At 33.7% G+C, this 24,831-nt stretch overlaps 1 protein-coding gene across 12 annotated transcripts in view; it reads left to right on the forward strand.

The window, feature by feature from the left end:
- The window catches only part of CNTN5 (contactin 5), a 1,337,937-nt gene that overhangs the window by 513,345 nt on the left and 799,761 nt on the right, over positions 1 to 24,831 (forward strand). For all 12 annotated transcript variants that reach the window (XM_017017926.2, NM_014361.4, XM_011542871.2 and 9 more), the window contains one exon: positions 21,852 to 21,976. In XM_017017926.2, the coding sequence (XP_016873415.1) occupies positions 21,922 to 21,976 (55 nt within the window). In that variant the 5' untranslated portion in view covers positions 21,852 to 21,921. Of the gene's footprint in view, positions 1 to 21,851; positions 21,977 to 24,831 lie in introns of those variants that run through there.

The following is a 24,831-nucleotide window of genomic DNA, read 5'->3' on the forward strand; positions in this document are numbered from 1 at the left end:
ACCAAGCATATTATTGTTGGTGTAAAGATAAATGATCTGCTTATTGATAGTGTCATCGAATGAGCATGATTTTAATGAGATTTTCATTTAAATAGTTTTATCTGGTTTCTTATGTTAAACCGTAGGATAGAAAAGGACTTTACGTAGCTCATAACATCTGATATAAATAAAAGATCACAAAAAATGCCTTCTAAAAATCAACAAAAAATTTGGGCATAGTTAGAATAATTTGATGGACAATTTATGCTATAAGTCATCATTTAATAAATGGTAGTTTACACACACTCATACAAAAATACTGAGTGTTGGTGTATTTAGAGAATGGGGAATATACTTGAATTTTTGCTTTATATGTTAATTATATATTATTTTATATTGCTGTACAAGTTGTGACATAATTTGAATATCACCCTGTAATCACACTAATAAATGTGTAATGCCAGGTTGGGATGGGATTACCATTCTACAGGGGAAGGGTCCAGTTCTATGAGCATGTAGTAAAGTAATATTTCATATATTGGGATGGTCAGGGAGAACTTTTGTCTGGTAGTGATAAGTCAACTACAATATAAGGATGATTAGAATTAAAAGCATTCTAGATTTACCCAAGATGTGTGAAAGGTGGTATGTTGGAAAGGAGCTGGTTGTGTTCAGAGAACTGAAAGAAGGCTAGTGGACTGGAGTGGAATGAATAATAGAAAGAGCACTATGTGTTGAGGGTTGAGTCATAGTTGGAGGCCAGCCCATGTAGTATGTATGCCATAGGTCAGATGAAGAATATAGTCTGCACTAATGCTGAAGCCGTTAAAGGAATTTGATGAGCTTGGTGAAGTGATTACATTTTAATTTAGAAAATACCACTCTGTAAGTGTAAAAAACAAACTGGAGGGAGACAAGTGGCATTATTGAAAGACAAGATATTAGGAACTTTCAGTGGTTCAGGCAAAAATATGATGATAGCTAATAGTAGGCTATTACTGTAGCAATGGAATGATGGACTAATACATGGAAAATTTAGGAAGATTTGTGTTAGATGTGGAGGATGAGAGAGAGGTAGATAAACAGTAGACAGAATAGAAATATCCAAATTTACGTTTAGCTTTGCTGAGTTTGAGCTTCTTATATTGTGCCACATGAAAATTCCATTCCCTTCTTTGGTGCTATAGAAAACAAATGGAACCCTCAAAATATTGTTGCCAAAATCTACTTGGATCCCATTAGAATCACATGGGGAGCTCTATTCAGAGACTCTGATTCAATTGGTCTGGAGTAAGACCTAGGCATGAGAATGTCTTAAAAGCTCCTCAGGGGTTTCTAATGTACAGCGAGGCTGAAAACTACTGATTTAGAGAGAAGTGTGGTTGGTTTGAACTATGAGGTTTAAGAGAAATGAATAGACAGCAAAGTAGAAATATTTTACAAGTGAACAAAAATACAGCAAAATCTTTGTAAAAATGATGCTTTCTCTTTGTCTCTGGCTTTGTCTAGGTTATGTTCAGTTTTTTTTGGTAAAAAAATCTTCCAGATGCAGGAGACTTAATTGAATCCACTAAGATGCATTTAGAATTATTAACTCACTAAAATATTACTTCTTATTTGATTCCTTTTTTAGGGTATAAAAGCGAAAAAATCATGTTAATTCTGATTAGTTTTGTTTTGAATATTGATCGTTGGTGGGTTGCTAGCCTTTCAGAAATAAAAGTATCAACCACATTCTAAACTATTTAATAGGTCAGATGATATGTGGTTAGAAGGGTGTCTGTGCATGAGAGATAGGGTATACAAATGAATCATTTAATAGGTAAATATTAACTGATGAAACTGCAATGTCTTTCTTTCAACCTCAGAAGCTAAGTATTTAAAAGTAACATTTATTCTCATACTGGTGGCACTTACTAATGTCCTTGTATTTTAATGCATTGTTTGATTAGATGTAATAGACTATTGGCCTTCAAATAATAAGAAAATCTTTTTTTTATTGAAATTGGTAACTAGTTATAGTTAATTTTAAATACTAAAGTTTCCTTTAACATATATAATATTTTGGAATTATAAAGCCTGTAACAATAAAACAGGTAAAAATATGGGACCTTGTTCTGGAGATGTAAAAATGTCTAAGACATATTCTGTGCTCTAAGGAATCTTAAAAACCGACTGGTTAATAAATGAAATAAAATATTGAACTTACAGAGTAGCATGTAACATTGAAAACCTGCAGATAAACAGTACAATTTTGTGCTTCCTATTTTAAGGATATGAACCAGAAAAATACAGCAAAAGGACTTCACAATTTGCAGAAACTTGCCCTCCCTCATGCCTGGGGGAGGAAGAAAAGAACCAAGTGATGATAACACTAATAGCTACTGTGTTCTAGGCATTGGAATAAGTGAGTTTTATACATGACATCGTTAATACCCATGACAATTCTTTGGAGAAAATATTATTACTAACTCTGTTTTATGGATGAGAAAAATGCTTAGGAAGTCCTGCCCAATAGAAATACAAAAAGAGTCACAAAAAGAAGCCAGATATGTAATTTTAAATTTTCTAGTAGTCACATTAAAAAAAAAAAAAAGAAAAAGGAAACAATTAAAACGTAATAAATTGTGTTATAAAATCCAATATATGTAATCCAAAAATAGAATCATTTCAACATTTATTAAACTGGGATATTTTACATTCCTTTTTCTGTACTAAAGCTTCATATATATTTGACACTTCCAGAATATCTCAATATGGACTAAGTACATTTTAAATACTCAATAGCCATATGTGGTTAGAAGCTACCACAGCTCAGACTTAGAGATTTTAAATAAGTTGTCCAAGTTTTAGCTACTGGAAAAAGGAAGAGCTGAAATTCAAACCTGGATGGTCTAACCACAGAGCATGAGCTCTTAAATGCAATCCTGTTCTGCTTAGGAAGATTTGATCTCATATTAAGAAATCTAACTTGAGATCATCTTATTCATACAGAATTTTTTGAAAATTACAGAATACATATCCTCATTTCGCAAGCAAATAAATCGTCTTAATGAGGTTAGGTAAAATCCTAAAAGATTCACAATTAGTAACTAATACAATCAGATGTTGAACCCACACCTGTCTAGTTTCAAAGCCCATATTTTAACTACACCACAAATAAATAACTAGATTCACTGAAAAGGAATTCAAAGGTAAGTAAGACCCCTCCCCACCCAATGGAAATAATAGATGGTAATTACCAAGCAGGGTGTTCTTATAACTAAGCACCCTTCTTCGCTTCTCTTATTTTTAAAAATTGTCTATGCTTTCTCATTCTCTTTAAAAATACAACAGTAAGTACTACCAACCCCACCATCACAACCACAAAAACTTCAATTAATGGGTTATGGCCTACAGAGCTCATGTTGTCTGTGGCATTTTATTGGCAAACAGCTGTAAGAAGTATGTAATAAACATCTAAGAACCATGCCTGGTATTTAGACTATAGTGGCATGTTAGGAACACAGTACCCCGTGGACACGATGCTGCAGCAATGATACAGCTTTCTAGGGAATAGCAGAGGTAGCCTCAGGCAACAAGGAGGTGGGAGGCTACTCTAATGCTTTATCATTAATGGCCTAGAAGACTTCATGTTATGGTGTCTTGGGTTTTAAATTAAATGTCAAATACAATTTGCCATTGAAAATGTGAAGTGTGGAACTGCCCTTAGAGACTCTGAGAATTCAGTCCTCTAATTGGTGGCTGCCTAGTACTGAGTAGAAATAGTTAGAGATTATTATTTGGTAAATTCTCACACCAGTCTGCAGAAATGTGTGGACTTTTACATCTTACACTTCAAGTCTGTAGTAAAACCTTGAGACAGTATTTTAAAATATGCAGTGTTCAATGTAGTTTTAAATACAGTGGAACTGATAAACTCTTCCCTTTGGGATCATGCCATCATTTATGTCCTGATCTCTCTGACATTTAATCTATAATATCAGGAAATCTGTGAAAGAAACTGAAGCAGCACACGTTCTATTTACAGTGGTTTATTTAGTTGCCCCCTTCCCTGCTGACAAGAGTCTGTTTTAATAATAGGACGAATAAAAAGATTTCCAATCCACTTCAATGTGTTAGCATTATATCTTTCTGAACTATGTGTATATTAGCGCTAATTATGAGATGTGTTTAAGTCTAAAACTGTAGGCTTAAACACAAAGGCGTTATTTTTACTGCCGGTTTTAATTAGAAACCTAAAGAAACACGTACAATTAAATATGCTCATAAAAATAATAGATACATTCCTATAATCCTCGTCAATTTGTTGCACCATTAATATCATTCCGCATGGCAGATTTAAGAATGTATTGGAGTAAGTCAAGTGGAAAATGGCAAAGAACAAAATTACTAGCATTTAAACCACTGTAACTGTTTTAGAACAGTGAGTACTGCTCTAGGTATCTGCTGCAATCACTGTTTTATTTTGCAACCACAATTTAAAGTTAACTGTTTGCCCATTTCATGTATCTCTTGTTTCTAAGAACAATTAATCTTGTACTAAAAATACACAGCTTCAGAATAAAATTGACTTCAAACATTTATTTTGCAAACATAATTTTTAAAGGAAATATTAATATGCTTAAATTTTCCTGATACCAAGAGAAAGATTTATTTTACTTGAAGAAATATACTGTTTGGCAACTCTCCTCCTCCATGTAATATGTAAACCCAGGTGGAGTAGGGTATCACAATGCCATTTTATAGGTTAAAAAATGTCTCCATGACTTTTCCAGCCACACGATACCTACAATAAGAGAACCTCAGGAGATATGCAAGCTTTATTCATAGATAACTTGAACTTCATACCAGATTTAGTCTAAATGATCATAAATTATGAAATGATAAGTTTAAAATTAAGTTTTATCACAATGTTATAGTTCATTGCAAAGTGAAATACAATTTTATATTCCTAGTTAAGATGTAAATGTTATTTTGAGATTGTTTATGACATGATTTTTACTATTAAAAATCATTTGGTAATATTAAAAGCTTAGTCTTATAAATCTTTAAACTATTAAACTGAAACAGTAGACTTTAAATAAAGATTAGGTCTTATTATTTTCTCCACATGACCCAAATTATCGTTTTATTGTTTGTGATCTATTCCCTAAATCCTCTCTAAACATTAATAATTGTTCTTTTATACTTAAATCTTAAGCTGAAAGAGAAAACTAGTCTAAGATAAAAATATTTATGGAATCCCTATATTTCTAGCATTTTTCATTTATTTCATGTAAGTATCATAAAAATTTATGAAATAATTATTACTACCAATTATCTTTCCTTTTCACATGAGGAAGCGGAGTGTCAGAATAGTTAAAAGTATCAAACACTATCACACAGCCAGGAACATGTCCAGCTGAGATTTAAAATTCATGTCTTCTCTTCCAAATCTCATGTTCTTTCTGTAATATTGCACATACTTCCCATACTATAGTCACTTTTGCAAAAGTATTAAAAAGTTTTAAAGTGTTGTAGGAAATGAGTTCAACATAAAAATCCTTGTACCATATATGTAAATCATTTTCCTCATCTCTAGCCCCACAGTTTTAATAATAATTAAGCTACTTGATTTAGTAATTTGATCCAGTATACTCATTTTTGTCATGTATTTTAAATCTTAGGTGCTTTCTTCTTTTGTGAAAGTGTTGAATTAATTACATCCAATATATGCAAAGATGGTGAATTTGCCTGTTACAGATACTTCTTTCTCCTGTGTCATCTGAGAAAATGTGAACAAGTCCCACAAGGACTCTCTTTGTTGTGCTTTGCCCCTGCATGATGTGGCCTTTTTTGAAGGATGTTATGAAAAACAATAATATAGACAAGATACCTGTAGAGTAAGAAGCTTCTATATTGGGAAAGTCTATAGAAGTAAGCACAGCACAGATAAAGGCCTAAGAACTAATGATAACTAAATATGTGTTGTGTTCAAGTTCTGAGACAAAGAAAGAACGAAAAAGTGCATACAATGTATATTTGATATTAGGATTTTGTTATTATTTTCTTTGCTTACAATTTAAAGATAAATAAATTAAATGTGATCATTTATTGAGTACCTAACAATGCACGGCATTTTGCTGGGTGTCTTCAAGACAAATGTAGACAACATATGGCATGCACTTTCAATGTGTTCACAGGTTCAGATCAGGAGACACACTCATAATTGCTATATTATTATAACATAGATGTGGCCTGGGATACAAACTAATTGCTACAAAAAGCACAATAAAGTGTTAGATTAATGCAGAGGTCAAGAAAAAATTTTTTTCAAAGGCATGAGACTTAAAATATAGAGCAGAAATAGACTACCAAGAGCTAAAGAAAGTTTAGTCATGGGAAGGAGCATGAATGAAGAGCATCTTAAGTTTGGAAAGGGGCAAATGATACTCAACTGCTAAAGCAGTCTGAGCTACGGGGCTATGTCTGTCTTTCTCACTATTATATCTGCCTATCACAGAAATTTGGTATATGATAGATGTACAGGTGCTCACTGAGGAATGAATGAAAATCTAGGGTATGTATGGGAAAAATATTAGATAAGTCTACGAAGGCAAATTATAACGAATTTAGAAGTATCTTGATAAACATCCAAAGCAGTCTGAAATGTATTCTGTAGCCCAATGACTGCCAGTAATACTACGTTAAAAAGAAATAATCAGTTTTGCTTTTATGCAAAAACACTACCCTTTAATGTGTAGCATTCAGTCAGGATCTCCCTGCCCTCTTAAATCTTTACCCTTCATCTTCTGACAGATGCTGCCCAACCCTATATGAAGAATCGTAACAACTCCACACTTGAGAAATAACTCTGCCCTACTCTGGAAGATTTAAGGACACCAGGTTAAAAATGAGCAGTACACTAGCTGACTGAATCCTCTGACATGCACAGTGGGCATGCCTGAAACTTCTTGTAGTGTAGAGCTTCCATTGAATTTTAATATATTAATATTCACTGTATTTTGTGTTATGAAGGTTTTCTATGTTCTAACACATGATCTCCTTGAAATACAGTTCATCTCTTGTTTATACTTTTCTCTTAGCAGCTAGTATGGTGGTTGGTACTTTTTATGATTAATAAATGTTTATTAAAGGGTGTCAGTTGGATGTTCCAGAAATCAGAACTCTTACACTGAATAAGAAATGCCAAGAGAGAGTTAACAACTGGAGGGCCAAAGAGGAGATGGAGCACAGTTGAATAGGAAAGGTATTGGACTGACCTGCAGCTCTGACACCTGTGAAAAGGAGGAAGATACAAGATTGCTCAGGGAAATCCTCAAATCATGTTTTGATGTGATGAATTCTGGGTCAAGGTTTCTCAGCCTCAGCACTATTGAAATTTTGGGCTCAGCCAGGTGCAGTGAATCACACCTGTAATCCCAACACTATGGGAAGCCAAGGCAAAAGAATGGCTTGAGCCCAGGAGTTTGAGGCTAGGCTGGGCGACAAAGTGAAATCTCGTCTCTATGGAAAATCAAAAAATTGGCTACGTAGGATGGCATGTGCCTGTAGTCCTAGCTACTCCGGAGACTGAGGTTGTGGGAGAGCTTGAACCTAGGAGATTGGGGCTGCAGGGCTACAGTGAGGTGTGATCATGCCATTGCACTCTGGTCTTGGTGACAGAGGGAGATCTTGTCTCAAAAAAAAAAAAAAAAAAAAAAAGAAAAGAAAAGAAAGAAATGTGGGGACAAATATTTTCAATAATTTACTTTCCAAATTTATCTCTTTGTTTTTAATTGTCATATAATAATTGTACGTATTTATGGGATATAATGTATTGTTTCAATACATTAATACATTGTGTAATGATTAATGCAGGGTAATTAACATATCTATCACCTCAAACATTTATAACTTCTTTGTAGTAAGAACATTCCAACTCCTCTCTTCTAGCAATTTATTGTTGACTATAGTCACCCTACTGTGTGATAGGACACTGTAACTTTTTCTTCATTTAAATTTGTAACTTTGTACCCAGTAACCAACCTCTTCCCATGCCTCCTCCCTTACACCCTCCCAAGTCTCTGGTAACCACTGTTCTGTTCACTACTTCTATGATTTTAACTTTTAAAAATTCCACATATGAATGAGAACATATGGTATCTGTCTTTCTATGTCTGGCTTATTTCACTTAAGATAATGTCCCCATTGAGGAAGGCTGAATATTATTAGGTTGTTCCAAAATAATTGTGGGTTTTGCCATTACTTTCAATGTCAAAACCGCATTTACTTTTGCGCCAACTTAACACAATGTTTACTAGTCTCTCTGGCCCCTACTACTAGATGCCAGTAGCATACCAGTGACAACAACAAAAAAATCTCCAAATATTGCTAAATGTTCCCTGGAGGGCAAAATCACCTCTGGTGGAAATAAGTAGCCTGGGCCACCCCTCTTTGTACATCCAGAGCCAAGATTGCCTATTAGAGGCATCTCTCATTAGGCAGAAATGGACAGGTCCTTGTACCACCACCCTGCTCAGTCAGTGGTTGGGGCTGCTGGGAAATCACATGGCCCAAGCTAAGACACAGAGGTGGATCCTGGAGTTGCAAACAACTGGAAGCTGGCAGCTCACTGCTCCCTTTGCAGCTGAACTGAAAGTTTTTCCTTGGAAGGAACTTAGAGCAAGGTATCTTCAAGGCTGCCTCATAAAGGCCATAGGTCCTCCTTTTCAGTTGAAGGCCTTGTGTTGTGCCTTGTCTGGTATGCCTTATTTGGCCACCTCTATTAAATTTATCCTTGATATATAATCTGTGCTCTGTTATATATATATTCCTGGAATAGAATTCTTTCTGTCAAAACATCTGCAACTTTAGCTATTCCCTTTCCTGGGTGATAAAAATCTCAGTTTGACTCTACAGAATCATATTTCTCTGCATTCAAACCTTGAAATATAAAGCTCTTGGACTTCAGAAATGAAGTGATTTCTGCAAATGAACAATAGCACAAGAATAGCTAAATATAGTCCACATTCATTTTATACAGCATCTTATATTTGGGTCACTGGCCAATTGACTGTGGTCACCTATTTCTTGTACTTTCTGCTTTTATTATACATTTCTGGAAAATATTAAGGTATCTGTCAAGTGGATCTTTCTGGTGGGTGGCTTTGCTGACCATCACATTTACTTGCACTTCTGATATCAAATTCAGTTAGGCCATAACTCTGCTAGACTTACTTTCTTAATCTGCTCTGACATTTCTCAGAGCATCTCAAAGATTGTGTGAGTCAATCACAATGGTCTAAAAATATCAAGGCACAATGAACCTAGATAAACAATACATAGTTATTGTTGCTTTATTAGATATAATAGAAATTAGGCCGGGTGCGGTGGCTCATGCCTGTAATCCCAGCACTTTGGGAGGCTGAGGTGGGTGGATCACCTGAGGTCAGGAGTTCAAGACCAGCCTGGCCAACATGGTGAAACCCCATCTCTACTGAAACTACAAAAATTAGCTGTGCGTGGTGGCACACGCCTGTAATTCCTGCTACTCAGGAGGCTGCTGTGGCAGGAGAATTGCTTGAACTCAGGAATCGGAGGTTGCAGTGAGCTGAGATTGCGCCATTGCACTCCAGCTTGGGTAACAGAGAGAGTCTGTCTCAAAAAAACAAAAAAAAAAAAAAAAAAAAGGAAATAAAGTAGGGGTAGTATTACCTTGAAAACTTTTCTAAATATAGGGACATTGTGTTAAACTATTCTTGTGTTGCTGTTAAGAATACCTGAAGTTGCATAATTCATAAAGAAAGGGGTTTAATTGGCTCACAGTTATGCAGGCTGTATAAGCGTGGCACTGGCATCTGCTTAGTTTCTGGGGAGGCCTCAGGAAGCCTTTACTACGGTGGAAGGTGAAGCAGGACCAAGAGGATCTTGTGAGAACTCGCTCACTATTGCAAGTATAGCACTGAGAAGACGGGGCTGAACTGTTCATGAAATATCTACCCTCAAGATCCAATCACCTCCCACTAGGCCCGACTTCCAACACTGCGAATTACAACTCAACATGAGATTTAGAGGTTACAACATCAAACTGTATTAGGCATATTCTGAGATCAGCAGCTATTAAAAGACATTTAAACTCATGTAAATTAAATGTGCTATTTATACTATGTAGAATGACTGCTTCAGATTATTTAGGTACTGTGCTGAGAACATAATGAAATTATTATCTGCTTGAAGAACTGAGTCAGGGATTGAAAAATCCAATAGCTTTCTTTTTGAGTAATTATTTTAAATGCTTGTTTCTGAAATAAACAGTATTAAGAATTTTTAAAGCCATTTAACTAACAGAAACAATGTGGAGAAATTATAGTGACTCTACTGAATTTTTTTTTTATCTGTGAGGTTTCAAAGGAGTTAATGAAATCAGGTAACTGGTTCCTAGGAGTCTGCAAAGGCTGGTGCTACCTGGACACAGAATAAAGAAGCTAAAATAGAGAGAGGCAGTTTATTAGGGACTTGGCTTTGCCCAGAATTCAGATTTCTTTACTTTCCTTACTAGTTCCTATCTACTTGATCACAATGCTTCTCAGTCATTACTGTGTGGGGGAAAAAATCAATAATAGCCATTTGGATTAAAGTTTGAGATATAAAAACATCCACTGCATATCCCTGTAGTATCTCTTTTTCCTTCATTGAGATTTCTTTGTAATTCCTTTGCCAACAACATAGAAGACCACTCTTACAGATTCTTGTCACATTGTGAGTAAAATTCCACCAGGGGATCTGCCTAATATTTTATAACTATAGTATATATTTTTACAGAATACGTTCCCAAGTTTGTTGTTTGTTTGGCTTATTTTTTATCAGACATTTGCCTTGCCTTTAGAGAATATGAATATTTCAGGTAAAAAGGTTTAATGTGGAAATGAAGTACAAAAATGTATATGACTCCTAAGGGTATTTCTATTTGCTGTTTCAAACATTGCCTTGGAATTATTTACAATTCCCAGTTTAACTATGTGCCTATAACAAGACATTGTTTAAATGCAATTTAGCCCTGTGGTTTCGACTGCCAGATGAAGATAGTGATTCAAAATGCCAATTTTTCCAAGGGGATGTGGGTTAAATTTTAAGTAAATCATTAAAAGCCCAATTTAGCCAACAATAACCAAGCATAATTACTCTTACTTAACTGCCTTCCAAAGATCCTTATTTTCATATTTAATTAAATTAAAAGAGAATTTAAATAACAGAGTAAATATGGGTTTATTTCTCTTGCTAGAGACCATGGCCCTAAAATCTTATTCATATCACGTTATACAAAGGAAATTTTTAAAACTCAAAATCTTTCAGGTTTCCTCATTGCTCCACTAACTTTTTCAGAAAACAAATTTATCCATGTGAAATATTTATTACCTCTCACTGTTGTGCAGAGTATATATTCTGCAAATTATATGTTGAAAACTATTTAAGTCAGAATTTAGTCGACTTACTTGTTCATGCAGAACCCTGAACAGGTGTTCTCATGTTCTCACTGGTTTGTTTTCCAGGAAGCAGTAACCCAAGTCCCCTTTTCCGTAAGTTGCACATTTTGGAATGTGTGAGACATTCTCTCCCTGCACGTAGCCAGGGCTTCATCTCCTAAGTCGTCCCACTCATTATTAGAAGAACTTCTCCTAAAATGGATACAAATCTGTTCTCTTAAATTCTTCAACAACTTGGACTTTGAATAGATTTTCCTATCAGTAGGAAATGAAAAAGTCAGCATGAGTACATTATTTAGACCTGCTGACCAGGAATGAGAAGGTGCAGCTCTAATTCTGATGCCGAGTTTGAATTACTGGGGGCATTAGGGAAATCCTATTACTTTGTCACGTCTCTTTGTCTTCTCTGTAATGATGGAATGTCATTTGATGCTGTGTACTGTCAATGGAAGCTTGATAAGATCTATAAATTTGGAAAGATTTCATTTTTCATAAAGGGTTATGTCCTGCAAGGTGGCCATTCTGATGGGCTAGAAAGGGTAGCCTTCCACAAAGACCATTAGCAGGCACTTTGAGGGAGGGGAGGGTGGAACAGGAATTTATACAAACAGGTTGCTTAAAAATACATATTCAAAAGGATACAGGAGGAACTATGAATCCCATTCAGAACCCCAAGCTCATCTGTCAGATATATCAACTGAAGAATCACAAGATCTATAAATTGAGAGAGGAAACTTTAGTTGTTATAAAGAGTTACAGCCTGTCAAGATGGACACCCTGCAGGCTATAACCCTTTATAATAAATAAAGTCTCCTCCTCACATTTGTAGATCTCATGACTCTTCACTTGACAGTATATTATATTGCAAAAAATATATAGGTAGTATTGGAAGTTATCAGAGAACTTTTGAAATTTAGTTATATGATTATTTATTTATGATGGTGTTTTTAATAAAATTCACACTCCTTTCACTGACCTATGGATACTTTGCGGTCTGGCCTTCTATGATCCTCAGGCTTGATCTCCTACCACTTACTCCTGGGCATTACTTTGCACTCATGATGGCCTTTTCTCTGCAGCTTGGACACGCAAAGCCCATTCTTACGTTAAGATCTTTGCACTGACTCTTAATTAAGTGACTTATTTCATTTCTGACAAAGCTAGATATTTTGAAGTAAGAAATGTTATAGGGAAGAGTGTGAGTGTGAGTCTTTCATGAAAGATACACAACACAAATTAGGTTTGTGAATGAAAATTATTTTCTTTTTTTTTTTTTTTTTGAGACAGAGTTTTGCCCTTGTTGTCCAGGCTGGAGTGCAACGGCACGATCTTGGCTCACCGCAACCTCCACTCCCTGGGTTCAAGCGATTCTCCTGCCTCAGCCTCCCAAGTAGCTGGGATTACAGTCATGCACCACCACACCCGGCTAATTTTGTATTTTTTTAGTAGAGACAGGGTTTCTCCATGTCGGTCAGGCTAGTCCCGAACTCCTGACCTCAGGTGATCCGCCTGCCTCGGCCTCCCAAGTGCTGGGATTACAGGCGTGAGCCACCGCGCCTGGTCGAAAATTATTTTCATTAGCTGAGCTATAAATGTTTGAAGTGGAGCAGTGGAAGGTATGTGGGCAGACAAATCATTTGAGATAGACTATAGGGAGCCTGCAATGCCAGACTAAAAATTTAGGTTTCTGTTTTATAGGAAATGTAGAAAGTTGCCTTATATGCTAAACTGTATGTAAAAGAGTTTTTAATAAATAATTTCAGGTGTGTATCTGTTTTATTACCAAACAGCAGGAGGTTGTAAAGATTTAAGATGGATATGAATTCATTTTCAGAATAATTTATTTTCCAGCAGTTACCCTAGAAAATTTAACATAGATATTTTACAAAAATCTAAAGTTAATTGCATTATCCTCCTTCTGAGTAATACAAGTTGAATATTTAACTTCAGCCACTTTCTCTTAATTTATATGCTACTATCTTCCATTATCTTAACTTTATATTTGTCTTACTTTTTACCCTAAAGGATATGATTATTATTGATTTATAAAGACAATCACCACATTTTTGACTCATTATTCTTTCAGATAGTTCAGTGTGTTGGTTAAAGACATGGCTTCTGGAGTTAGACTGTCTAGATATTAATATGCAGTTTACTTAGTAGTTGTGCAACTTTAGAAAATTTGCTTAACCTTTCTGTGCCCCAGCTTCGTTATCTGTAAAATGGAAATAATATATTTACCTATATGGTTCTTTTTGTAAAATGAATTCCTCTAGAAAAGCACTTAGAACAGTACCTGGCAGGTAATAACAATTATATGTGTTTTCTATTGTTATTTTTCCCTTTATGAATTTTATAGCTTACTTCTGCAGTTACTATTTTTCCTTTTGTCTGATAAATATTATTATTTTTCTCTGTAAGGATTTATTTTTGGAAAAATCAGTTTTTGATTTAATAGAAAGAGGTATTTCTCTCCTGTCCTTTACATAAATTTTCACTGGGTCTGGAATAGTACATTGCTAAAAACCTTAGACAAGTTAAATTTCACAGTTTATTTAGGCAAATAATGATTCATAAATCAGGCAGCACTCAAAATTGAAAGAGGTTCAGAGAGCTCTTCTCTATCAGTCTGAGCAGTGAGAATTTGTAGGCTGAACATAAAAGCAAAGTTGAAAAATTACCTGATTGGCTACAGCTAAGTGTTTGCCTTATTTGGACATGAGCTGACTGGAGGTCCATAATTGTATAGCCAATCGCTGGTTGAATGTTTGTGATTGGCTGAGACTTATTTTTCTTCAGTCAGTTACGGGGAAGGTTTCCAAGTTAAGTTTCAGTTTGCTTATCTAAGTGCTTGAATTAGGGAGACATCCTCCGGCTAATGGATTCCTTATTTGCTTTAGCAATAAAGTACATTATTCTCATTTGTTTGTATCTCACAGTACATTATTTTAATTTTTTGAGTCTCATTCTTGCTATCAGAAAGTCAAATGCGAGTCTGGTTTTCCTACTTTTATAGTTACTTTCTTTTTCTCTCTGGCTGCTTTTTGGTTTTAGTATTTTCCATTTTCAATATGATGTGCACAGGTATTTCTTCTTTTTGGATTTCTCTGGTCTTTAAGAATCTTAAAATTGGTAAATTTTATCAATTCTGGAAAATCTTAGCAATTATCTATCTTTTCACATGTTGCCTCATCCCATTTTCTTTCTCACTCAAAAAAATCTGATTAGACATATTAAGACCTTTTCACTATCATTGTGTTTCTTTCTTCCATAGCTTCCAGCTATTGCCTTTCTGGGCTACTTTTAGGTAATCTTTTTATTCCTATTTCCTCTTTCTCATGGTGTCAATTCCTTTTTTTTTTTTATAACACAAGTAATATGCCTGAAAAGTCAAATATCTGAAGTCTTTGCTGGTATGATTCTGACCTTTATCATTTCTATTGACTCTCACTTTTAGTGATTTCTTTTCCTGTAAGTGACATGACTCTTGACTGAATTTTTGACTATTGAGATTTTCTTTATTCCTTCTACTTCTATTTATTCCCATAGTTTAGACCTGAAAATTCTATTTTACTCTTTTATGAATGGAGTATCTCTCTAGAGAGATATCCCTTTGGGATCTTAGACATATGGATTCTCCTATTTGATTACCCAGCTGTGTGGGCCCTAGGCTTTGGTTTTGGTCCCCCACTTCCAAAGCAGCCATATACATAAATCTGAAGTACATTGAGAATTGCAAAGTCACTGAATAGTAAAGTCTTCTTTGGTTCCCAGCTTACCACTCTTATTTAGCTTTCACATCTAGTACGTTTTTCTCTTCCTAAGTAGTTCACTGAGGCATTCAAGAATATTTTATAATATTCTCTGTATTACTTTAAGAAGGACATACTCCTTCTTAGTCATGATATCCAGTTCCCAAATTGCCAGAAAGGAAATCTACTGCCACTCAGCCATGAAATGGTATTCAGCATCCCAACACAACACAAGGCCTGTCAGAATTTATGTGGAGTCGTGAGCCATAGTTGTGTCTTTACCCTGTTCTAATATCAGTCACTAGGTGGTAGGAATCACAAACTATTTCTGGCATCAGATTCTAGAGTAGTTATCTTTTTTTCTTTCTGATTCCAGTATCCATTAATTATACTTTTGAGTAGTAAGTAATCTCGAACCATACTTTTTCTACTCTTATATTTTAAATAAAATTATAAAGTTGACTTGAAGTCTCAGAAAACTAGTGTGGCTCCTTTTAAAATTTTTGCTGGACCCTATTCCACGCAGGTTTTGTTGAGGCTTAAAAAATGTTTATATTTAAAAGAGTAAGAAAAACTGATCTTCACTATGCCTCACGGTGTTTAACACACTATAGAAAATCATGTTAAAAAGAATGCCTCCAAAACATGTGAACACTGTGAGCTCAGTCTGCTCACTACATCTCTTAGCACTTTGTCCAGGACACAAAACTGTCATTTGCTTTTCTAAGATAAACAATATCATAACTCAATCTGGCTAAATTTGAAAGCCAAAATATTTTTTTGCTGCTTGGTCCTCAAAAGATATATGACAGCAAGCAATAAGGAGACACATTCTTCTTTATTCCTGCTATAACTTTGGCCACATTTTGTTATCTATTTTTTTTCCCCAGGTGCATTGAGCTAGATAACTTCAAGGATATCTTGAAAGCAATTCACCTCAAAAACTTATTTTATGTTCCTTTTCTATGAGCCCTATTCCAACCTTATTCAGCCTTTCAAGGGAACTTCCAAGCAAAATGTCACAAGCTTCAGTCTTAGCAAAGAGTCATGGTTGAGATGGAGAATAAGGTCCACGGAAAAAGAGATGTTTCTTCATTTTATTCCTTTCACCAAAATTTACATACAAGGCCCTCACATTGAGGCCTTATCACATGCAAGTGGGAGTAGAAACACTTTTACTCAACCTCTACTGTTCTAATTTCACAGAATAACTAACATCCATCATTACCTTAATAAATGAAAATAACTCAGAATATAGATGATATTAACAGGTAAGTAGGCTAATCTCTAGTTTATTCACTGCCACTTTTTCAGTCACATATTTACCAAGATTCAGTTGTGTTTGTTACAAGTCTAGTTATATAAGTTGTCCATGTTATTGTAATTACGTAAGTTAAATAAGCATTTTGGAAATCACAGATTACATGAGAGTACCAAGAGTAAGAGCATTTGGCAAAAAGTTTGTTTAAGGCTAAAGCCCTAAACTTTATAAGATAGTCACTTAAAAATGCTATAATGTACGTATGAAATAACTGCATAAAAATAATGAAAGCCTCCAAGAATCCTGCCATCAGATCACTTCATATGTTTTTAGGCCACTTTAAATAAATTTAAAGTTGTATATGATGCAACACAGGCACTATTTATACACTGCAGTTTCCTGTGATGCTGAGTTAAAAGAAATCATTTTTTCCACCAGAATCTTTATAATCATAAAAAGATGTCACTGCTATATAATAATTGGCATATATATTCTGTATATTAAGAATACAGAATTAAATATTAGATGGCAAACATTTAAGGCATATGTGAATTAAGTGTTTTTAAAGGGTTTTTTATTAACTCAGTACCAGTCCCAATTGTGTCAGAGTAAAGGTTGTCTGGTCTCTCACAGGGATTGCTTTGGAATCTTAAGACGTGATGGAGCTTAAGGGTTAACATTATTTATTAACTGGGGCAAATTAGCTTCATCAATAAGAGATGTCCTAGAGATTGTGTAGGTAAAGTGCTTAACACAATGCTTGTAATTTATCTAATAAATGGTAGTTGTTATTAGGATAGTCAAGTATCCCTTAATGACTGAGCCATATTCTGAGAAATATCTTCTTAGGTGATATAATCATTGTGTGAACACTGTAGAGTTTATTTACACAAACCTATATGGTGCAGCTTGCTACAGATCTAGCCTGTAATATAGTCTATTGCTTCTAGGCTACAGACCTGTACAGGATGTTACTGTACTGAATAATGTAGGCAATTATAACACAATAAGTATTTGTGTATCTAAACATATGAAAAGTACAGAAAATATAATTATCTTATGGGAACATCATCATATATGCAGTTCAACGTTGACTGAAATGTCATTATATAGCACATGACTGTAGTATGAAAATCTAAGAAACACTGAGTTTTTTCTTTTTTTTTTTTTTTGAGACAGAGTCTCACTCCATCACCCAGGCTGGAGTGCAGTGGCACAATCTTGGCTCACTGCAACCTCTGTCTCCCTGGTTCAAGTGATTCTCATGTCTCAGCCTCTCAAGTAACTGGTATTATAGGCAAGTGCCACCAGGCCTAGCTAATTTCTGTATTCTTAGTAGAGACAAGGTTTCACCATGTTGGCCAGGCTGGTCTCAAACTCCTGACCTCAAGTGATCTGCCTGCCTTGCCTCCCAAAGTGCTGGGATTACAGACATGAGCTACGCACCTGGTCAGTTTTTGTGTTTTTTTTTTTGTATTATATTTTGCCAAAAAATTTATTTCCTAGAGACTTCAGTTTATTCAATAATTATTATCTAAAAAATAATAATTGAATACTTTCTATGGTGGTCACTGTTCTAGATGCTGGTTCTGTAAAGATAAACAAGACAAAAATCCTTGCTTCCATGGATATGACATTCTAGTAGGAGAAAAAGATAACTAAGATGTAAATAGACTAGTTTAACCTCAGGCACTGATAATTGCTAAGAATAAAAATAAGGCAGGGCAAATGTAAGAAAAATCAGTGACAGAGCTGACAGGAGGGGGCTTGCTATTTTAAGGAGAGTAACCAAGAAAGGCTTCTAGAAAGAACAGTCTGCAATGATTTAAAACTCTAAGGTATGGAAAAAACTGATGTTGGAGAGGCCTAGGCAGAGGACACAGTATGTGCTTGGCATGCTTGAGGACTAGCAAGAAAGTCAGTGTTGTGGGAATGGAGTTAGTCTAAAAAGTTAGAAGATGAAATTAAAAAGTTAGACAGGGACCGGATTGCATACGGCCGTGGGCAAAACTGTATAGAATTGGTGAAACCAGCAGTCTGTAATAGATATTTCTTTCTCTCGCTGGTTCTCTCCCTCTCTCTCTCTCTTAATTTGCAGATGTATGCACTATTAACACCTTGCATTTTTAAAAGACTAACTTGTAACCAAGTGGAAATATACTATTATTACTTGACTTACTTCGTAGACATATATTCAGACCTATTAAGGTGTAATGCTTTAAAGTATTTGTACATGCAGTCAACCTCACAATGCACTTATTCTTTGTAATCTATGACTGAATCCGAACACTATTATCTACTTATTGCACTCTACTTGCAAATATTTGCAATAGTTCAGAGGAAAATGCCAAGAAATGGGATGTCATTTCATACATTATTCTTTGAATGTAATAGTTGACAGAAAGTACATATTCTAAGAATTGAAATAAGTTATTTTAAAAATGTGAGATTAAACAAATTCCAATTAGTAGTTTCCAAATTCCTGTTTGTGACTTTTTAATCTCACAATGCACAGCAGTTTAATGTAAACTGGTACATTAAACTGGTAGCCAAAAAGGCATTTCCAAATACACATCCTTCTCTTTGCTTTGGTAACTTTTATTCATTGATTATAACTTAACCTTGCATCTAGTAGGAACCTAATATATGTGTAATTAATTATATTGTCATTTCTTTGATGCAGGAATTTTATTAAAGTCATCGGATAACTATGTTTTCAAAAGAAACGTGTAAAAAGTTTACATATTTCAGAATCTTAAATATTATTTCATTTACTTTTTATTTTACTCAGAAGAGTTATTTTACTTAGCTTAATGTCCTTCAGTATTATGTATTTTAAAAAAACCAAGAGAGTAAATTTCAGATGTCTCATCATAAAAATATGATACGTAAGTGAGGTGATGGATATCTTAATTAGCTTGATTTAATTATACTATATTTTATATACATATCAAAGCATTATGTTGTACTACATAAATGTATACAGCTACAATTTGTCAATAGAAAAAGCACAAACTAATAATCTCAATACTAGAAAGAGACAGAAAGGGAGAAAAAGAGAGAGAGAATAAGGGAGGAGAGCAAAAATAAAATATAATGTAATTATGTATCTTAAAAAGAATGACTTTTTAAGAAATATTATGTTGTGTGTATTTAAGAAATATTATTTTGTTTATGCCCTAAGGACCAAGCACTGGTGCTTGAAAATGAATACACACACACACACACACACACACACACACATACACACACACACACTTCTTCTTTTACAAGAGATTTTAACATAAAATAAGTTATTTTAGAAATCAAATTCAGTGTACCATTTATATTTGAGAGTAGGAAAAATGTGCCTGGAGTTTATACTTAAAGATTATTTCATAACACCCCTACATGGCATCTTATGAAAAGTGCTTCACATGCATTCCTACTAAAATCTCACCTTCTATCCTCCGGTCACAGGTTGTCCCTTTACTCTGTTAATTTCTTCAGAGTATGTATCACTGTTTGACACTGACTTATTTATCCATGTGTTCCTTGTCAGTCTTTCCACACTGTTCCACTCAAAAATAAGTTCTTTATCTAAGACCAATAACTCCTTGAAATTTTACTGAAGATCCTTTGCTACTGTGTCCAGTTTCTCCTGCTATCTTCATGAGTCAATGCTCCTTTTGATGGCTCTCAACCCATGTATGTGTGTGCACATGAATGTCTGTGGGTTTTCCCTCTGACAGTCCCAGAAACAGCCCTTAAGGGTTGTAATAACATTTGTATTTGTTTATGAAGAATATTTAGAACAACAGAGGACCTTAGGACATTGTAAATAGAGCGAGAAGTACCAATTTGGGGAGTATGGGACTGAGCACAAGCTCATAAAAATGAGTTAAGCCAAAGCTATATTACCTTCTCAGAATTCACAATTTCAAAAAAGGTCAATTTAATCATGAATTGAAACTTTGCTAACTCAACTGTGCAGTTCTCATGAGTCATAATCATACTTCTGGCAACTTTAATCTCTCCAGTTATTATGTGTGATATGTGGATTTTATTATTTTCCTTTCTGGTAAAAAGCAGTGTATAAATAACCAAGATGCTTTAAATTGTCACAATTAGCTATGAGGTTGTTATTTAGTACTTTGAATTATATGTATATCTGATATTTACTCATAAAATACAGAAAATGATGAAAAAATTCTTTTGTTTAGGCTTGTTATAAATAAATTAACCATTATTGTCTTAACTTTCTTCTCCATTAATGATCCCCAAATATAAAGTTAAAATAGACTACCAAGACTTATATTTAAAATTATAAATAAAAATGGAAGTAACTTCATTTAGGTAGAGGTACTAACAATAAATTCCTTTCTTTGACATAACTATATTACATTATGATCTAGCTAGGGGAAAAAATACGTGTCTATATTTTTCAGATGTTTCCTAAAATATAGAGATAACCTAGACTTCTAATTTCATAAGGAGGGATCAGATACCAAGAAGGCAATCATTATTCAAAAATCATTGACATACTTTACAATTATTTCTCAACTGAACGGCTTTGCGCCAAGGAGAACATAGCTGACACGTGAAAATTCTGGAGGTACTTGTGGATTACAGAAACTTCCAATATATATTTGTCAAGTTCTTGCAGAAAGTTTAGTGTCAGAATTTTCTATTCTTTTCATGTTTATTGTATCATTCAGGGAAAAAAAGGAACCAAATATATTAATGTGCTATACTGGTTATTGTTATAAAAATGGCATTAGACAAAAACATTAAATATTCATGAAAATCCTTTTTCCCTTACGTTCCAGCCAGCAAAAGATACTGAAAGAAATAATTCACCAAAGGAGAGAACTATAACACAGTACAGATAATCATAGGAGTTATAAACAAAGGAAGTTGACATTAATAATTAAATGAGAAAAATTCCCTGTGGTGGTTTTGATGAGCTACAGGCACAATGTGTAAAATCACTTGGCCAACCGATCATTAGTTATGCTCTAGACCAAAGGAGTATATATTAATGTAACTGGTTTCTCTACCCTATTTTTCTAGTCCAATAATTTGTCTAAGGTAATAAATATAGCTATTACACATTCCCTGTGAGGAAAAATTATCCCCATTAGAACCTGATGTTTTTACTATCTGTATGGGAGTATTCAATGTAGATAAATGTGAAAAGGAGAGTTGATCACATTTCCTAAGTACTTGTATTGTGTATTACATGAATTCTAACAGAAACTGTATTATTGCTGTCTAGTGCATATTAATCTGACCTTTGCACTAATGGTTATTTATCATGTTATTAGGAGATTTTTGCATTGGTTTGTATTTGTTGGCTTTTCTGTTTGTTTATTTCCTCTGTTTAAGAAAATTGTTATCTATCTCAAACAGGGCACTCTTTAATGAAGAAACACCAGAGCTGTTAAACACATTGAGACACAGAAGATTCTAGTGACTGAGGATGGCTTCCTCTTGGAAACTAATGCTGTTTCTGTCAGTCACCATGTGTCTTTCAGGTAAAAGTCCTGATTAATTAATTATTTGATTTTCTAAGTATCAAAATAACCAAAATATATCAAGGTCTCCATTACAAAATATCCTCAGGTATTAATTTAAATTTATATCAGTATTTATACTTTCCAACAAGAGAAAGGCAGCAACCCTTAAGCCGCTGTTAACATTGCAAAATGCCATATACAATTTAATATAATAAGGTACACTATAAATGTTAATAAAATGAGTATTTACCTCCTTGACATTCATTTGCAATCTAAACCATCTAGCTTTCAGAAGGCTTGGAAATATATATATATATATATATATATATATATATATATATATCTCCCACACATATATACATACATATGTGCATATATTTATGCATATAATGTATATGTATATAAATAATTATGTATTTTATAGCAGCTAATTATAAAAGTGTCTCATCACAATGCTAAATTTCACCATATAAAACAGAATCAGGTTAGCTTTATTATATATAACACAGTATCTAAAGGCATCTCTAACACAATGTATTTTTTCAGATTGTCTCACCTTCTCTGACTTTGTTGTAATTAAACTTATTTTTCTATATCTTGACTCTAAAATGAGATACTTTATTCCGAAGAAAAGTTTATAGTATTGGTAGTAATAATATCATAATGCCTAAAGTTAATATGTCAGAGCTTATTTGCTTTAATTGAAGAATGATTAGAAATTAAATTGTGGTCATAATTTAAGCGCTATGCATGTAACATTTACAGCTTGATTATATTTAAATCAGTACCTATATTGTGGGCTAAATTTAGGTAGTATGTATGGTAAGAGAGTCTGAAATAAAATGTAACAGCTGATAATTTTAGATTAAAAGATTGCTTTCATTTTAAACACATTTTTAATGTGTTAATTATACTAAATATATTTTTAAAGCAGTAAAATATTCATTTTGATATATATGATCATTCAGTACTCTATGCAAATATTGATATAAATACATACATGTTCCATTTATACATATATATGAGGATAACACATGTTCAAGATATGTATTTATGATCATATATAATATAGAATACAAACTACATAAAGATATAGAACATGCATATTATTTACATATGATCACTAATATTGCCTCATCTTCTATATGGTTATATTACTATGCAACAAAAATATCTAATTGATTATACTAAATTTCTTTATTTCAAAGAACTAAACACATTCTCCTGTCAATTAAGTCTTTCCTGTATTGTGTAACATGAAGAAAACTGCAGATTGTCTAAAGAAAAAAGGACTGATAGAAGAACAAACCCAAATACAAGAAAATATAAACTCTTTTTAGAATCATTTAAGCTATATTTTTTAAATTATAATTTTACAATGGTTATTCTTTAGCCTTTATACTATTATTACTATTCGTAATGTACCAAAAGTATAACTTCAATTATGTATGATATATGAGTCTTCTTTATAACTGAAAAGGCAATCCTCAACTTATCAGATTATGCTCCAAAACATTATTTGAAATCTAAAAGAATTTCTTTATATACAGAAATAAATTTAGTATTTCAGTTATATAAGTTGTTATGTGTTGAATGTAATATCTGCAGCATACCTGCACTCATCTAAATGCTTTTACAAGATATATAAAAGCCTTTTTATTGCAATACTAGTAATTAAATAACTGAAAAAACAAAAAACCAAGTAATTATTTATATATTAGTACTATTATACGTTCAACACGTTGCTTACAGAAAAAACAGGTTTAATAAGAGACATGCAAGGAAAAAGGATACCTCTATAAAAAGTTGGTAGAGACATCTATGACATGAAAAGGTAAGGTATCTCAAAGGCATTAAGAGTTAAGTGAAAACTGTGATTCATCAATATTATGGTTACTTAAAAAAGAAATCAAGAGTCTTCAGATATTTTATTCAGTGTTGGGTTTCTTTTTTTTGTGCAGCATTACTGTCTTCCCTGCTGATCTCAGTTGTTTCTCTTTTATCTTCTCAATGTCATTTTCCTCTTGAACTTATAAGCCAACTGAAGGAGATGGAGGTAGGGTTGCAAGATGAAATAAAGGACACCCAGTTAGATTTGGATTTCAAAAGAAAGTTTTGTGTGTATGTTTTTTGTTGTTGTTTTGTTTTTAGCTCTGGTATGTTCCATGCAATATTTTATTTCATTTTATCTAGAAATTAAATTTAACAGATGTCCAGTGCTTTTATTTATTAATCTGACAATGCTAGAAAGAAAGAAGGTGGTGTTCTATAATAATACTGTAAAGTTTCATTCTCTTGTATTTGTCCAATATTGTTTCCTCAAATAAACAGTCCCTGCAAAAGAGCTATTATACAGTGGTTGTGGAAACAAACACAAAAATACTCAGCCTGATATGGGGTCCATGATCCCTAGATTTCCAGCTAATACTGGAATCAAGTTACTATTCATTTCATGAAATAAAGGAAACATTGGAAGACAGAAATAATTAGGAAGAGTTTGGGTATGAGTGGCATTTCAAATGTTATAGGCAAAGCAGAAAGAAAAGTTGAAAACAAAGGTCATGTACAATTGCTACATGGGATTTGATCTTTAATCATCATATCTGCGGTTGATGTGCAGCAAATATTCAGTTGCTTTTTTAAACAGATGAATTTCTTTTTTGCTGTAGATATCTGTTTAAAATAAAATTGATTAGGATACTTGAAAGGATCATTTATCAAGAATGATTATGTTCAAAATCTTTCATTTGCCTTCATCCTCATTTTATCATACTATTTCAGAGGTGGAGCCCCTATTCTGCTTTTGTTCCTTGGTTAATGCTTACACTCTATATTGCCCTCACTATTTTAAATATTTAGTATTTTATTATTTC

Source organism: Homo sapiens, chromosome 11 (genome assembly GCF_000001405.40).
Source record: "Homo sapiens chromosome 11, GRCh38.p14 Primary Assembly".
In the NCBI taxonomy this organism is placed as follows: Eukaryota; Metazoa; Chordata; class Mammalia; order Primates; family Hominidae; genus Homo; species Homo sapiens.